General features: G+C 43.5%; 1 pseudogene and 1 further gene; both read right to left on the bottom strand.

Annotated features, from left to right (window-relative positions):
- The window catches only part of IGL (immunoglobulin lambda locus), an 896,838-nt gene that overhangs the window by 304,840 nt on the left and 574,714 nt on the right, over positions 1-17,284 (bottom strand).
- On the bottom strand, positions 12,889-13,381 carry IGLV3-31 (immunoglobulin lambda variable 3-31 (pseudogene); annotated as a pseudogene). Its single transcript is given in 2 exon segments — positions 12,889-13,189; positions 13,336-13,381. Coding segments are annotated over 2 exon segments (347 nt in total).

Genomic DNA, 17,284 nt, shown 5'->3' with positions numbered 1-17,284 from the left:
TGCCTCAATACCAGGCATAAGGGGCTCGGTTACCCATGAAATTATGAGCACGTCCTATTGGAGGAAAATGGGTAGGGCCCACCTAAGACATCCCTCTACTGTCACTGGGTTGGTAAGTGGTCCAGTGCATCTTACCAAGGCTCTGCATATAGTGCCGCAGACCTCAGACACCAAGTTTCATGGCTCCAGGTGTAGAAAAACATGAGGCAGTGGTGGCTCCTGCCCCAAAAACAAAGGCAGGAGCATATCCACCCAGCCAGTATTTATTGAGACCCACTCTGATCCGGCAATATTCCATCCTGGGAATTCAGCACGAGAAAGACTGTCTCTGACCCCAGGAGTTTCCTACATGGGGGTTGGGGCTGTGTAATAGAAACAGTTTGTAGTAGAAGCACCATCTTCTACCTGTGTATTTTCTCCTCTATTTATTTACAAAAAGATCCTTGTTTTCCCTGGTCACTCTTGGCTTGGACTGACCACATGGTCCCATGCTGGCCCCAGGGCTGTAAGGGTCAGGTGGTTGGAGATCTTCTCAGGGAACATTTTCTCTTGTGATGGAAATAAACAGACTGTTTTCGTGCAGCACCTTTGCTCTTGAATATGGGTATAATAGCTGGAGCTGCAGCAGCCATCCTGAGGTCTTAAGTCCACACAAATGAAAGAAAAGCCTACTGTGTCATGATGGTGGAGCAGAAAGTTGGGTAATTGCTGGGTTTCTCATTATTTGGTGAGTATGTGGGGAACAGCAGTGAACTCCACACTTACTTTTTGAGGATAAAATAGCAAATGGTTCATGACTGTTTCTCATGAGTGTCCAAGCAGAGGAGAAGCATTTTTGATTGATTGTAGGAGTATTTAGCACCAGAAAATCAATTAATAAACATGTTAGGAAAAGAGGCATGAAGTTTAGGTGCTCTGCAGATCATTAATAGAATGCATACACAGAAAATGACAGGCAGACTGCTGTGTAATCAGAGGTTGGGGCGCCTCCCTGAAGAGGAGTCTCTGGAGCTGCTCTCAGGAAGGAAGAAACAGTGAAAGGAAGTGTGAGGAAGAAGAGTCTGTCACTGACCTGCAGGGAGGGGTAGGTGTTTTCGAGGATCTGAAAGAGCAGTGACAAACATCAAGGGGGTCTGGGATCCAAACTCATTGCAATGCAGTGTGTGATACTTTTAGCTGAGGCACGAGTGCAGCGTATTAAGGTGTGGTTAGGGGAATTTCCAGGTGATGATGAATGACGTGATCTTGGCATCTGCTTAGCACATGGTATGGCCTCCAGGACGCTGCTGCTGGGGTGGGGGCAGGAGAGACACAAGTGGGGTCAGACCTGCCCCAGGCTGTTTCCTATTTTAGCAGGGTCTGAAGCTGCCCAGGAGGGGGCTTACCCACCCCTTTGTTCCTCCATTACTTGTGCAATAAGCAGCCTTGTGGGGACATACACTGCTCCATCCTGGGACCCCGTCGAGGGCCTCACATGGGTGACTGATCCCTAATGTCCCACAGACTCGCTGATCTGAGCTGATCACAGTGGGTGGGGAAAACACTGGACAGAGGAGGGAAGGGCCAGAGGGTGAGTAAAGTTCCCAAGGTCGCCTGGGGAGGAAGAGGGGAGAGCAAGACCAGGGAGGTCCTGGGCAGAAATAATGATCATTTCTAAGTGTGCAGGAGCAAGCAGACTGGATGGGAGTGTCGGGAACAATCCTGCACCACAATTGTGGGGGCTCAGAAGGATATAGCTCTTCCCTTTCAGTTCTGCCAGCTGCCTGTTGGGGGAGCTGCTGCACCCAGACATGAGTGAGCCAGGCACCTGGTGGGTAGCTTCCAGCTCCCTGCACCCTTCGGTGCTCATAAAAACTCCGAGGGTTGGCTGGGCGCGGTGGCTCAAGCCTGTAATCCCAGCACTTTGGGAGGCCGAGGCGGGCGGATCACGAGGTCAGGAGATCGAGACCATCCTGGCTAACACGGTGAAACCCCGTCTCTACTAAAAATACAAAAAATTAGCCGGGCGCGGTGGCGGGCGCCTGTAGTCCCAGCTACTCAGGAGGCTGAGGCAGGAGAATGGCGTGAACCCGGGAGGCAGAGCTTGCAGTGAGCCGAGATCGCGCCACTGCACTCCAACCTGGGCGACAGAGCGAGACTCTGTAACAACAACAACAACAATAACAACAACAACAACAACAACAACACAAAAAAACAAAAAACTCCGAGGGTAAAATACGCCAGGCAAGAGAGAACCAGAGCTGCCTTTTCATGTCTTGTTACTCTGGAAGAGCCCTTGAAATATTGTCTGGATCCTTTGCATTGACTGCTCATGGTCCTTTAGTGCCATCATAAAGTTGTAGATATAATAACACAATTATAACAGTCAATTTCTGAAAATCATAGTTTTGTATTGTGTGGAATTCATATAACCTAGAATTAATCACTTCAAAATGTACAACGCAGTGGCACTTAGCACCTTCACTTTGTTGGGCAGCCACCAGCTGTGTGTGTAGTTCTCCTACATTTTCATCACCCAAAAGAAAATTCTGCACCCAGTGAGCAGCCTCTCCTCTTTCATCACCTTCTCCAATTCTGGGCAACCACTCATCTTCTTTCTGCCTGCATGGATTTGTCTATTGTAGATAATTCATGTAGAAGACATGATACAGTATGGGACCTTTAGTATAGTATTTCAGATTTTCAGACCATAGGATCTCTGTCACCACAACCAAGCCTTGTATTGCAGCATGAAAACAGCCACATGTCACTCATAAAGACATGAGCAAGACTGTGTTCCAATGCAGGATGCAAGACAGATGTGTCCATCAACCACAGTTTGCCCACCATGTCCTCAATCAGCAGCCACTATGAGGAACTGTGTTCCTCATTAGTAACATATCTGAGTCCAGGACCAGGGGTGGAAGTAGTGGCTTACATGGGGAATTTATGATTCTGTTTTCTAACTCTGAGTCTTATAGTTTAGAAGTCCAGGTTCCCAAAGGATGACACCCAGTGATGCAGCAAGAGCCCCATGGAATTTGAATGAATGACGGTACCCGGTCACTCTGGGATTCTTCCACCTTCACTGCTGTCCTGTATGGGGGATTGGCCGTGTCTCAGGTGACACTTGCAGCTGTGCTCCAGGATTGAGAAACAACAAGCAGACCATGTGATCAGTGGGATCTCCCGTCAGCAGGGAGAAAAACCCTCAGGAACCTCAGGATGAAGTGTCCACAGGTCTCAAAGAAATGGGGCCTAAATTTAGGCATGGGCAGGATCTGAGGGGAGCCCCTGTGTAAGGGAAGAGCAGGATGGAGGAGCCTGTGATGTAGACCCTTGAGGACACCTGGAGACAGGGCTCAGATCTTTACTCCACTCCTGTGATCCTTGAGGAAACTCACGATGTCAGGGTTCCATGTCCATTTCATAGCTGAGAATGGGGGTGAATAAGGGCTTCAGTATCATAGAGAAAGAGAAAGAAAGAGAGAGGAAGAGAGAAGGAGAAAAGAGAGTAAAAGAGAAAATGAGAGAGAGGTCAATGTTAAAACTGAATCCTGACCTCTTCAGCCTAATTCTAAGCAACTTTCCTAAATGCAGGGGGAGCGTGTGATCCAGGCTGGGGACAGCAGATTGTGCATCTCAATTCTCCCTGTGGCTGTGTCATTGGAAGTCTTGTTGTCATCCCCCCTGAAACTCATCCTCAACCTGTCCCCTGGTCAGGGGAATTACATTCCTAGACACTGTCAGAGAATCAATCAGCACTGCATGAGGAGTTTTGTCACCACATTAAAGTCCCAGCATGGGCACCAGCCTGGGTTCTGCGGGTACCAAGACAGAGCAGAGCTTCCCTACTTGGTCCTGAGCAGCTGAGAGGGGCTGTCTGCACCATGGGCACTGAGCTCCCATGGGAGGACAGAGAACCCGCCGAGGAGAGAGAGATGGTCAGAGACTGAGGGACTTATTTCCAGAGTAATCTGCCTAAAGTGTCTCCCAGGATCAGGGTCAGAGCCAGGCCTAGCTTAGACAGTCAATTAACACAGATTGTGTATGTTATGTATATTATATACAGTATTTTTTATAATGAAGTAAGCCAGAGAACAGAAAATGTTATTTTAAAAATCATAAGGAAGAGAAAATATATTTACTAGTCATTAAATGGAACTGAATCGTCATAAAGGATTTTATCTTTTTTATATTCGGGTTGAGTAGCTGAAGAGGAAGAGCAAGAAGAGGGGTTGATCTTGCTGTCTCAGGGGTGACAGGGGCAGAAGAAAATCAATGGACCCATGCAGTTCAAACCAATGTTATTCAAGGGTCAACTGTATATAATTTTCTATATATTTTGATATTTTGACATCTTAAAAAACATTTCTGTCTGGGAAAAGACCACCCCTCCTGGGTCTCCCCAGTTCTCTATTCCTTGAAAGAGCAATGGGCTCAGCCAGAAGCCTGCCTTTCATATGGAAACTAACGTGTTCAGAGCCTCACCACCCCTGTCTGGTTTGTGCATCCCAGGATACAATATTCCTCTGCCTTTATCGTCCCAGGGCCAGGTACCAAGCAGCTAGAGACCACCTTAGTAGCCCAAAGCCTGCTGACATTATTCAGGCTGGCCAATCATAAATTTTTTAGCTTGCCCTGCTTTTCCTGAGGAAATTCTGATAAAAGTCATGGTCTAAGGGATCCCCTGCCCTCCTGTCTTCTGTCTTCTAATGAACCTGATGCCTTTCCCTGTGGCCCTGTGTAGCACATTGGGCCTGCTGTCTCTAGAGCTCTGGGTCTATGGTCTCTAGGGCTGTTTTCTGAACCTCTCTTCCATTTCTTCTTGTGGCCACAGCTGACTGACCAGCTGACTAACTAGCTCATAAAAGAATACAAAGAACGGCCTGAGATTAGAACTGGAATCTCTGAGGCTTTTTCCTGATCTCACCCCTCAGTCATATGGGGCTCTTCCCTGTTGCTTTTGTTACCAAGAGACAGAATTATAACCCCCAATGTCACTGCTGTGTCAGCACAGGAGATGGTGACCACCTCTCCAGTGGTTTCAGATGCTGAGAAGATGTAACAGGACTGATAAGGCCCCAAACTCTGAGGGAAAGGATAAATGTGCAGAGGCATGAGTCCTGGGTCATCACTCCAGGGAGCCTGAGGAGGGAGAGAAAGTCTCCTGGGCTTCACAGATGTAGCTGAGGTGCATCTCACCTGTGCTGGGAGCAGGAGGTCAGGAGCTGAGCTACTTTGCTTGTGGTCCTCAGAGGGCAGCAATGTTAGCATCACCTGGGGGCAGTTAGACACGCAGATCCTTTAACTGTCCTGATGTCATCAAAGGGAACTTGATTCCAGCACTAGACCTGTAATTATGTGGACAAAATGTTTCAAGTATGGACATTTTTACAAGCCACATGGGTGATGTGTTAGGAAGGGGATGGTATCCCAGTAGGATGGCCAGGTAGAAATACATGGTTCCTAACATCTTTCTTGTTCTCTGACTGACACTTGCAGTGACTCCACTCCTCACTCAATGCCTGCCAAAATCCTAATTGTCCTTTCGGTTCTGTACACATATCTTGTCTAGGAAGTGTTCTCTGAACATACAGAAACGTAATATTACAATCTTTTACATTTATCAGAAAGTATCCTCACAGTTGAGTATGGAATATCCAGATTCTTTGCATGAAATACTACCCCATGCCATCTCCACTTCTCATGATGGCCTAAAAACAGCAAGAAAGAAAGTCTGCTTGCATGAAAACATTTTAAGTGATTTTGAGATGACAATATGGTTCGTCCTTTCTTCTATTAATACGATGCCTTCTATTAATTAATTCAATTACAGATGTTAAACCATCATTGCATTCCTCGGATAAACACCACTTGGTTATTGTATGTACTTCTTTTTATATCTTGTTAGATTACATTTTCTGGTATTTTGTTAAGGACTTTAGTATCTATATCCAGTAAGGTCATTGCTCTGTATTTATCTTTTCTTGTAATGGCTCTGTCTGGTTTTGGTATCAGGGTAATATTGGCCTCAGAGAAAGAGTTGGCAAGTGATTTTATCTCTTTTATATTTTGGAAAAGTTTAATGATAAATTATATTAATTCTTCTTTAAACATTTGGTAATAGTCACCAGTGAGGCCCTCTGTGTCTGGGCCTTTCCTTATGGGAAGGCTTTTCTTATTATTATTAACTTAATCTCTTTCTATAGTTTTAATCGGGTTTTCTATTTCTTCTTGAGTCACTTCTAATAGAATTTGTATTTCTAGTGATTTGTCCATTCATCTCAATTTTTTTCATGCAGTTTTCATGGTCTTCCCTCAATTTTTTGGATTTCTCTAATGACATTGTTTTGGGAACATACTTTGTGTGATTTCTATCTTTTTAAAAATTATCAATCTGTTTTATACGGTTTTTCTGGAGAATGTTCCATGTGCATGCAAGAAGAATGTGCATTCTGCTTTTGTTGCTTGAAGAGTTCTACAGGCATCGGTTAAGTCTAGTTGTTCTATAGTGCTGTTCAAGCCCTTTTATTTCTACATTATGCACTATTAAAATATTTATCCATGTAGTCACCATTTCTGATGCTTTTCATTCTTTGTGCAGATTCACACTTCTATCTGGTATAATTTTTGTTCTGTATGAGGGATGTCTTTCATCATTTCTTTTAGTGACGGCTTGTGATTTATCAATTCTGTAAGTTTTATTTATTTGAAAAAGGTTTTATTTGGCCTTCATTTTTGAGAGATATTTCACCGGGTAAAGACTGCAGGGTTGACAGTTGTTCCTTTTAATATTATAAAGATGTAGCTACCTGTCTTCTTGCATGCATTGCTTCTAATGAGAACTCTGCTCTTAGTATTATATCTAACATGTCTTTTCTTTCTGGCTGCTTTTAAGAGTGTCTCTTCATCACTGTGCTTTAGCAATTTGATTATGATATGTGTTGGTATTGTTATCTTAACGTATTTATATTTTAAAATATATTTTGTCAGGGGCTGGTTGAGCTTCGTGAAAATGGATGGCTTATGATGTTCACAAAATTTGGATCATTTTTAGTCATTATTTTGTTTTGTAGTTTTTCTATATACTCCCCTACCCCCACCAACTTCTTTTTTTCAGTAACACAAATTACGTTATTTTAGGTTGCATTGGCATGCAGTTGTCCCATAACTCAACGATGCTCTTTTCTTGTCATTTTCAGTAGTTTTGCATATTTCATTTTGAATAGTTCTCATTACTATATCATCAGATTCACTAATCTCTTCTTTTTCAGCATGTAATATACCAGCAATCTCATTCAAAGTACTTTGATTTCATATATTTCTGTGGTCATTTCTAGGACTTAAATGTAGGTGTTTTTTAAATGTCTTTCATGTCTCCATTTAACTTGTTCCATCAATACTCTACCCTCCAGGACAAATGGATTACAGTTACAACAACTGCTTTTTGTTCTGGTCTAGAAAGTGTATTACCTGTGCAATTTCAGGGCCATGATGCGCTGACCAACTTTTTTACTTCTGACTCACGTTGTCCTGCTATTGTAATAAGATGCCAGACATCGTGAAGTTTTGCTTTTTAGGTGCATGATATTTTTATATTTCTCCACATATTTTTGTCTTCTTTGATTCAGAAGGGTTTCTTGAAGAGAGTATGTTCCTTTCTGAACTTGCTCTTACGGTGTCCTAGGAGGGATAGGAGCAGATTTTAGTCTATAGTTAGTTCCCCCTATACTAAGGCAGAGCTTTTCTTATTCATTTTTTTTTCTCTTTTCTTTTCTTTTTTTTGAAACTGTGTGGCGAGATCATGGCTCAATACAGCCTTGAACTCCTGGGCTCAAGAAGCAGTCCTCATGCTTAAAACCTCCTGATTAGCTAGGACTACAGGTGCATGTCCCCATGCTTAGCTATATTTTTTAAGTTTTCTGTAGAGATGGGGTTTCACAATGTTGCCCAGGCTGGTCTCGAACTCCTGGCCTCAAGTGATCCTCCTGCCTCAGCCTCCCAAATTGCTGGGATTACAAGTGTAAGCCACTTTGCTCAGCCAGGGCAGAGAAATTCTGATTAGTTAACCTGATGCCTCTGATTAGACACATTTCCACACTGGTTGTAGGAACAAACTCTATTCTGATGGTGTGTGTGTGTGTGTGTGAGTGTGTGTGTGCGCACACACGCGCATGCACATGCCCTGCAATTGTTCCCTCAAATGTCTTTGGGTGGTTCTTTTCTTGGCCTTAAGTATTTTCCTTCCACTCATGGGATCATCAGTGCTCAGGAATATTTGCAGATTCCAGAGTCCTGTCTCTGTGCTGCTCTCTCTTCTTCCGTACTCTTCCTTGTAGACTGTTTTCTATTTTGTGTTCCCTGGAATCAGACTCTGAGAGGGAAAATTGCATACAGTAGTGTTTGGAGATATTCGCTCTGGAAGGAAGTATGGGGGGGCACAACTGGGCAGCCTGAAATCTGACTCCAGTTGAGGACTCATCTGGGAGGCCCTGCAAGGTCATCCTAACCTGAGACAGGGCCTTGGTATTTCAGTCTCATGCAGTTATTAGGCCTGAGCCACACTGTGAAAGGGGCATGCCCTTGGTGGAGGCAGTTCTCTGTAGCCAGCAGCAATTTGAGGGAGAAAAGAGCTGTGAGGGCCCTGGGATTCCCAGCTGCCACGGTTAGTGAGAGCTGTGAGGGCCCTGGGATTCCCAGCTGCCACGGTTAGTGAGAGCTGTGAGGACCCTGGGATTCCCAGCTGCCACGGTTAGTGAGAGCTGTGAGGCCCCTGGGATTCCCAGCTGCCACGGTTAGTGAGTCTGCCCTGAGGAGCAGATCACCAGTGCCCATGACACTGGTCTTCTCTGTTTAAAATATCAGGATGCCATGGTGTAGCTGGAGCTTCACCTGAGTATTTCAGGGGAATAATCCAGGACATCTGGGCATGAGTAGAGCACTGGGCTGGGCTCCGTCACCACACATGTGGAAATCCAGGCACCAGAACCACTTGACAGATATCTCCCTCTGACTGTATTTTCATTCAAGTCATTTTTCTCCAAGTCACACTCCAGCCAAGACAACATCAAGACAACCTTGTTCTCTCCTCCTCCAAATCTTCTCCTGACCCAAATTGTCAAAACCATGACTTAAAGAGTGACATCACCACTGACCTTACAAAAGGTACAATGGTTATAGGGAATAATGCGAACAATAAATGCCAAAATTATGGATGACTTAAATGAAGTGGATAAGTATCTGGAAATACATAAATTATCAAAATCGATTCATAAAGGAGAAAATCTGAATAGATCTATGACACATAAATATATTGAATTAGCAATTTAAAATCTTCCTGCTAAGAAAAGCCCACCTAGTACAAATGACTTCACTGGTAAATTCTATCAAGTTTTTATGGAAGAAATGACACCAATCATACACAATCTCCTTCAGAATATAGAGGAGAAGCAAACATTTCCCTACTACCTATTTGAGGCCTGAATTACTCTGATACCAGAGCCCGACAAAGGCATGACAAAAATATCCTATAGACCTATGTCCTGCATGAACATGGACACCAATTCCTCGGTAATGTTTCAAACAACATTCTCATGCAGGAGCTGTCCTTATGCATGCAAGGGCATTGCGACTTCCATTCCCTCATTTGCCTTTTACTTACATCTTGAGAATCTCCCTTCTTCACCTTGATTTAATATTTCTGTGGAATGTTTTCCCTCAGCTCTGGTACCAGAACCAAGGTTTTGGAAGCCAGAGAGAGGAAAGGGTGATGGGAGAGGTGATGCATATTTCTATAACTGTGTGTTAAGAGTTCACTGTGGGCTGGGCATGGTGGCTCACACCTGTAATCCCAGCACTTTGAGAGGCTAAGGCCAGCGGATCACTTGAGGTCAGAAGGTCGAGACCAGCCTGGCCAACACGGTGAAACCCTGTCTCTACTAAAACTACAAAAATTCATCAGACATGGTGGCAGGCAATCCCAGCTACTCCAGAGGCTGAGGCAGGAGAATCACTTGAACCTGGAAGGTGGAGGTTGCAGTGAGCCAAGATGGTGCCACTGTACTCTAGCCTGGGTGACACAGTAAGACTTCAAAAAAAAAAAATTTACTGTGAATCCTTCTTTGTACTGCTTTGTGAAACAGACTTGGGAGTGGGGGGAATTGTCCTTAATTTGTACTTGGATTTTTGTGGTTTTATAATTTGAAGTGGTTTTTTTTCTAGGCAGCATGTATAGTTGAGTCTTGTTCATTTCAACATGACAATCTCTGCCTTTTAATTGTGATATTTAGACTATTTACAATTAATGTGATTAGTAACATAATTTGGTTGAAATATGCCAACTTGCCCTTCATTTTCTATTTGTGCCATATGTTCATTGCTTCTCCTTCCCTTTTTCTGTTTCCTTTTTTTGACTGATTTTTAAAAATTATTTCTTTTTATCTCCTTGCTGGTTTAAGTGATGTTTAATTTTAAGTGTTAGATTGACTAGGTATAGTGCCTAGTTGATTTTGTCAAATACGAGTATAGAAGTTGGCACGAAGATAATTTTCAGATGTGATTAACATTTATATCTGTAGACTTTATATAAGCACACTGCTCTCCACAATGCATGTGGGCATCATTAATGAGCTGAAGGTTTTCAGAGCAAATACTGAGGATTCCTGAAGTCCCACCTTGCAGAATTCAGACTCAAAACTGCGAGATCAACTCTTACCTAAATGTCCAGCCTTCAGCCTGCCCAGTAGATTTCATCCTAGTCAGCCACAATTGTATGAACCAATTTCTTCTCCATATATATGTACCTAGATATGTATATACACACATATACATTATATGTACACATGCATATACACATATATACATTATACATATATACACACATACATATCCTATTGATTTTGTTTCTGTGGAGAACTCTAATATGGCTTACTAGCCATAATTATTTCTGTTAAAAGGGTTTATCTTTGGGAGGCCGAGGCGGGCAGATCACGAGGTCAGAAGATCGAGACCATCCTGGCTAACACAGTGAAACCCTGTCTCTACTAAAAATACAAAAAAGTTAGCCGGGCGTAGTGGTGGGTGCCTGTAGTCCCAGCTACTTGGGAGGCTGAGGCAGGAGAATGGCGTGAACCCAAGAGGCGGAGCTTGCAGTGAGCCAAGATCGTGCCACTGCACTCCAGCCTGGGCGACTGAGCCAGACTCCAAAAAAAAAAAAAAAAAAAAAAGTTGATCTTAATGATTGCTTGGGTTTACAGTACGTATATAACTTATCAAGGTTTACCTTCAAGTGTTATTATATATTCACATATAGTATAAGACCATTATAACATGTTGTTCATCCCTTCAGCTTTTGTGCTTTGTCACATAATTTACTTTCATTTTCATTACAAATCACAATGTATTTACGTTAGCTTTTCTTTGAAGTGTTAATTATCTTTATTAGACATTAACACAATTCAGAGGTTTCTATGTTTATCCTTGTGGTTACTATATCTGATGTTTTCATTTTTCGGTATAAATTCACATTTCATTGTGGTATCATTTTCCTTCTGTCTAGGGATGTCCTTGACCATTTCTAATTGTAAGAGTCTGATAGCAACCAATTCTTTAATTTGGCATATGTCTGGAAAGGGTTTATTTTGTCTCCTTTTTTGAAAGTTTTTGTTTGTTTGTTTTTATTAAAAAAATTCAAGGTTGGCAGGCCCAGTGGTTCACACCTGGAGTCCCAGCACTTTGGGAAGCTGATGCGGGCAGATTGCTTAAGTGCACAAGTTTGAGATCAGCCCGGGCAACACGGTAAAACCTCATCTCTACAAAAAATACAAAATTACCTGGGCATAGTGTTGCACGCCTGTGGTCCCAGCTACTTGGGAGGCTGAAGTGGGAGGATCATGTAAGCCCTGGATGTTGTGAACTGAGATTGTGCCACTGCACTCCAGCCTGGGTGACAGAGTAAGACCCTGTCTCAAAAAAAAAAAATAAAGAAAAAAAGAAAAGAAAAGAAAAGAAAAAGAAAGAAAGAAAATGAAAAGAAAAGAAAAAGAATTCAAGGTTGACAGGATTCTTCTTTTAGTGTTTTCAAGACATTGCTCCGCCGTCTTCTTTCTTGCATTGCTTTTAATGAGAACTGCTCTTAGCATTATTATTTAGGTGACTCTTCATCACTGGATTTTATTAATTTGATTATGATTTATGTTGGAGTTGTTTCCTTCATGTCTCCTATACTTGAATTTTGTTGAGCTTCTTGGATATTTCAGTTTATGGTTTTCACCAAAGGTGAAAAATATTTGGCCATTATTTATGCAAATACTTTTTTCTATTTCTCCTCCACCCATTTCTATTTCAAACACTAATTACACATACTTTAGGCTGTTTGAAGTTGTCCTACAACTCACTGATACTCTGTTCCTTTCTATCATTAATTTCCATAATTATTTTTCCCATATGTGTTTCATCTTGGACAATTTCTACTGCTGTATTATACAATTTGCTAATCTTTTTTTTTGCAGCTAATCTTTTTTTTTGCAGCTAATCTTTTTTCTGTTGTCAAACTCACCCAGTGTATTTTCTAAATTTCAGACATTGTAGTTTTCATCTTTACAAGTTCAATAATTCCTCTTTTTCGGTTTTCCATGTTTTCACTTTACATGTTCAATTATTCCTCTACTTCTTCTTCAAACAAGAATAAAATTATAATAATTGTGTGTGTATTGACTCCTGATTCACCCTTTTCATAGCCTACCTGGAGACCTGGAGGGAAGGGCAGCCTCAAGGTCTCATATCTGGGTGAACAGGGCAAGACCTGCTCATGAATTTGTCCACAGTTTTTTCCTGGAGCTGAAGAAAGAGTGTGACAGATGGAGAAAAGGTTTTTGTCTCACTTCCCCTTCTGCCTGTGTCACCGCGGAATGAGTACGACTGCTGTCCCATGACTGACAGTAATAGTCAGCCTTGTCTTCAACCTGAATCCCAGTGATGGTCAGGGTGGCCATGTTCCCTGAGCTGGAGCCAGAGAATTTCTTAGGAATCCCTGAAGACTGGACACTGTTAAGTTAGATGACCAGCCCAGGGGCCTGGCTTGGCTTCTGCTTGTACCAGTTTACAACGGAGTCTTCTATGCTGTCTCCCTGGCAGGTGATCCTGGCTGTCTATCCCAAGGCCACAGACACTGCAGGCTCCTGACTCAGCTCAGAGGAAACCACGGAGCCTGCAAGAGAAGAGAGAAGAGGTGAGTCTGAAGATAAGGGTCTCATTTCCAGAGCCCCACACCCTGCATTACTCCCTGTGCTGAGCTGAATGTCAGGGCCAGGCTGATTCTTGGTCCTGTGGGGGCTGAGCCCTAGGAGGCAGCACCTGTGCAGAGAGTGAGGAGGGTGAGCAGGGGAGGGGTCCAGGCCATGGTGGAGATGCCCCAGAGCTCTGCCTCTGAGTCCACAGCTGGGAAGGGGCCTCCAGGCCTCTCTTAACATAGGAAGGGGATGCTCTTCATGCAAATCTACTTCCTTCCCTCCTGTGGCCTTGGTGAATGGCTCCCTAGTGAGCAGACAAGGGCTGGGCTTATAGAAGGGTATAAAAATGGGCCCTGTCCCCAGTTCTGTACAGATTCCTCACACTTTCTGGATGAGTGAGAAAGTGCTGCCCCCAACACATGCATACACTCCTCAGTTCCTGTTCTGGGGTGTTCACTGAGCTCGGCCAAGCACCTCAGCCATCCTCTCTATTGATGTGTCTGAGTTCTTATCTGAGCCCTGAGGCTGAGACCTTCATGTTAGCAATTTTCCAAGTTTAGAATAAAGGCCAGGTGGGTGCGATGAGTGGAGAGTGAATTTTACCAAATAGAAGAGGCCTCACAGGAAGCACCAGTCATGCCCTTTGCCTTTTACACTTGGGTGCTACCAGGGGACTTGAAGTTATTAGGGTCCCCAAACCAAAGTCCACAGCATCCTACTGTGCCCACACGGGGAATGTCATCTTCCATGTATGACTAGTTCACACAGAATGCCTGCTTATGAGTACTTAATATATGCCTGATGCTTTGGAGGGTGTATTAGACATGTCACCTCAACCAGGCATTCATTATAATTCTACAGTAACCCTATACATCAGGAAAGCACTGATGTCTACTGACAAGAGACCCAACATCAGGAGGTTACACGGTTTTCTCAAAGTTCTCAGATGGTAGTGAGTGGAATCCAAGACTCCATCCAGGAGACACACCTCAGAGCCTAACCATTCAGCCCCCTCCTTTCTCTACCTCCCACCCAGTGCTCCTTCTCCTCCTGCTTATCCAGTGCCCTAGGTCCCTCTTTTCACAACCCTCTACTCTTTAGTCAGGTGTACTGCCCTTCCTGAGTTCTGGGGACAGAGGTGAGGACATCCTAATGCTCCCTCTGGCAGATGAAAAAGGAGCATGTGTCTGCAGTGACACTGGGGACATCCAGATGCCTGGTCATGCTCCTTGTGCCAGGCTAATCTCTAGACAAGTTAGGATCAGGATTCCATTTTTGACGTGGTCAAGGCCACTAAGCCTGAACAACTGTCACACTAGATACTGAACCACTTTAACGTTAATACACATGATTGGCAAGAAAGTATTTCTCACCTGATATCCTATACATATATATTGGTTTTTAGACCTAGTTCTGCTGAGGATGTGATGAAACTAATTCCTTTGTAAGTGCCGCTGCATTGTAATTAGCAACGTCATGTGAAGCCCTGTAGGTGCCATGTGCACGGACCGAAACCTCCATGTGCTGACTCCTTGGGATTTAGTCTAAAGAGGTAACTGACCTAAGATTAGGCCACAGGCCACAAATACGCCCGCTCCTGTCCTTGGTGAGTGTGTGGCACACAGCTTCTCCATGCCTTCCCACCTGATGCGCATCCACTCCTCATCTCACTGGGCTCCTCCAGGTGTCCTGCTGGCCACTCGTGCAGGTCACTTGTAACACCTTTGCTTGTGGGTCCTGACATGCTAAGACGACCCTTGGAGAATGTACCTTCATAAAAGTGATCAGTGCTTGTGGGATAGGCAAAAACAGCAATTTATGAAAAATAGCAATACACTAAGCTTCAATAAAATATTCTTCATCATGAGCCCTTTTTGTTCTAGATCTATGTATAAAAAATTGCTTTCTTACTTGTTATTGGGCTTATCACAAGAATCTTCCCACTGAAAGGGATCCTTGGAGCACAATTTACAGGGACCATTGCCATTCATTCCACCGGAAAGAGACCAATAGAAAACATGCCTTTGATGGCCGAGGTTCACCTTTAAAATTGAAGTTATATTTAATGTCTTTGAGAAGGGAAGAAGTGTGAAACACACTGTAAAAATTCCCTTGTTTCTTAGTGCCCTCAATATTCCTGCTTTGGCTGGAAAGTAGAGCTGCCATTCCTCCCTCAGGAGGCCCTTTGGGTCATGGAACTCTCCATTCTTCCCAGGTAGCTGTCAGTATGTACTGCAGGGGCTGTGACCCAAATGGACCTTTATCCATCTGGACTTGCTGTGTCCAATATGGCGGCCATGAGTCCCAGGGAGCTACTGAGCCCTGGAAACATGGGTAGTCTGAGGTAAGATGTGCTGTAGGAGTAAAACACACCAGATTTCAAAGAATTAGTACAAAAATAAAATAAATATCTCAATATTTTAATACTGAATGCATGCTGAAATAATATTTTGGATAAATCATTTAAACACAATATATTATGAACATAAATTCCACCTGTTTCTTTTACCTTTTAAATGTGGCCACTAAAAAATTGTATATTATATATATATATTCTTAAAATTACATTTCTAATAGACCAGCACTAGAGCACTGCTGGTGCACTCAAAGTCACAATATGATACTTTTAAAAAGTAAAGGTTGGGCACAGTGGCTCATGCCTATAATTGCAGAACTTTGGGAGGCTCAGGCAGGAAGATTGGTTGAGCCCAGGAGTTTGAGAACAGCCTACGCAACATAGTGAGACCCCATCTGTACAAAAAAACTTTAAAATTATCTGGGCATGGTAGTATTCACCTGTAGTCCCAGCTACTCAGGAGGCTGAGATGAGAGGATCTCTTCAGCCCAGAAGGTTGAGACTTTAGTGACCTGTGATGGTGCCACTGCACTCCAGCCTGGGTGACAGAGTAAGACTCTGTCTCAAAAACAAAACAAAATAAATACAAAGTAGAAAGAACTTTCTGGAGCCTTAAAGACACACCAATGCCTTACCACATTGATGCAATGACAGGCGACAGGATGGTGCCTAAGAACAGGTTTTCTGGGGCCAGAAGACCTGAGATTCTACTCCTGGGTCAGCCACTTTCTAGTTCTGACATCAGGCATGTTATTCTTCTTTTCTCTGCATTAGTTTTCCCATTTCTCAAAATCTATGTATCATAGATTTCCCAACTGTAAAACGGAGGGATAATGAACAACTCATAGAGTTGTTGAGATGAAGGGAATTAATAAATATGAAGTACTTGGAAGACTGCTTGATATGTATTAAACACATATGAATCTTTACTCCTCCTGCTAGTATTACTACCCTAATCTTCATCCTTATTCTTAGTGCAGAACAAAGGCACTAGAGATAGAAGAAGCAGGTAAGTTAGGAAAACAGAAAAGATTTGAGTTTGAAACATTTGACAGTAGGAACACTTCCTTGCAACACCAACTTGGACACGTACACATACATACACACATGTACACAAATATACACACAGGCACAGATATTCACACACAGTCGGCACATGGCACTGATTTGTGTACAGGTCAAAAGGCAGCACATCCTCCTGGCTGCTTTCCTGTTCAATGGGCCTTAAGCTGCAGGGACCTGAGCCAGTTCTTATTGATATCACCATCATGTGTCCCAGCAAAAATACAGCAAAGCCACTTTGTCGTGTCCAGACTCTGTGATACATGTTATCTCCCTGGAGCTGGCCTAGCTTGTGAACTCCTAGATCTGGGATGAGGCACCCAGATCTGCAGAAACTATTAGCATGATCTGCTTAAGGCTGATTAGCATTTTGGGTTCTGTGACCATCCACAGTCGGCAGTGTGGAGGCCTAGATTGGCAGGTATAGATGAACCGTCATGAGGACCGTACTGGTACCACTGAGGGAGAGAGACGCTGGGGGTGGAAAGAGCCAGGACACCTCATATTGTTTCCTCCAGGCCAGTCCACTGAGGCACAAGGCAGAGTTGATAATGTTTTTAGGATGCAAAGTCCACAGCAGCGCTGAGCTGGGCTTAGGACAACCAGACCTGCATTTGGAAGAGAGAAGCTGACAAGCTTAATGTCCCAGGGAGAC

Source organism: Homo sapiens, chromosome 22 (genome assembly GCF_000001405.40).
Source record: "Homo sapiens chromosome 22, GRCh38.p14 Primary Assembly".
In the NCBI taxonomy this organism is placed as follows: Eukaryota; Metazoa; Chordata; class Mammalia; order Primates; family Hominidae; genus Homo; species Homo sapiens.
This window is presented reverse-complemented; position numbering and strand designations above follow the sequence as displayed.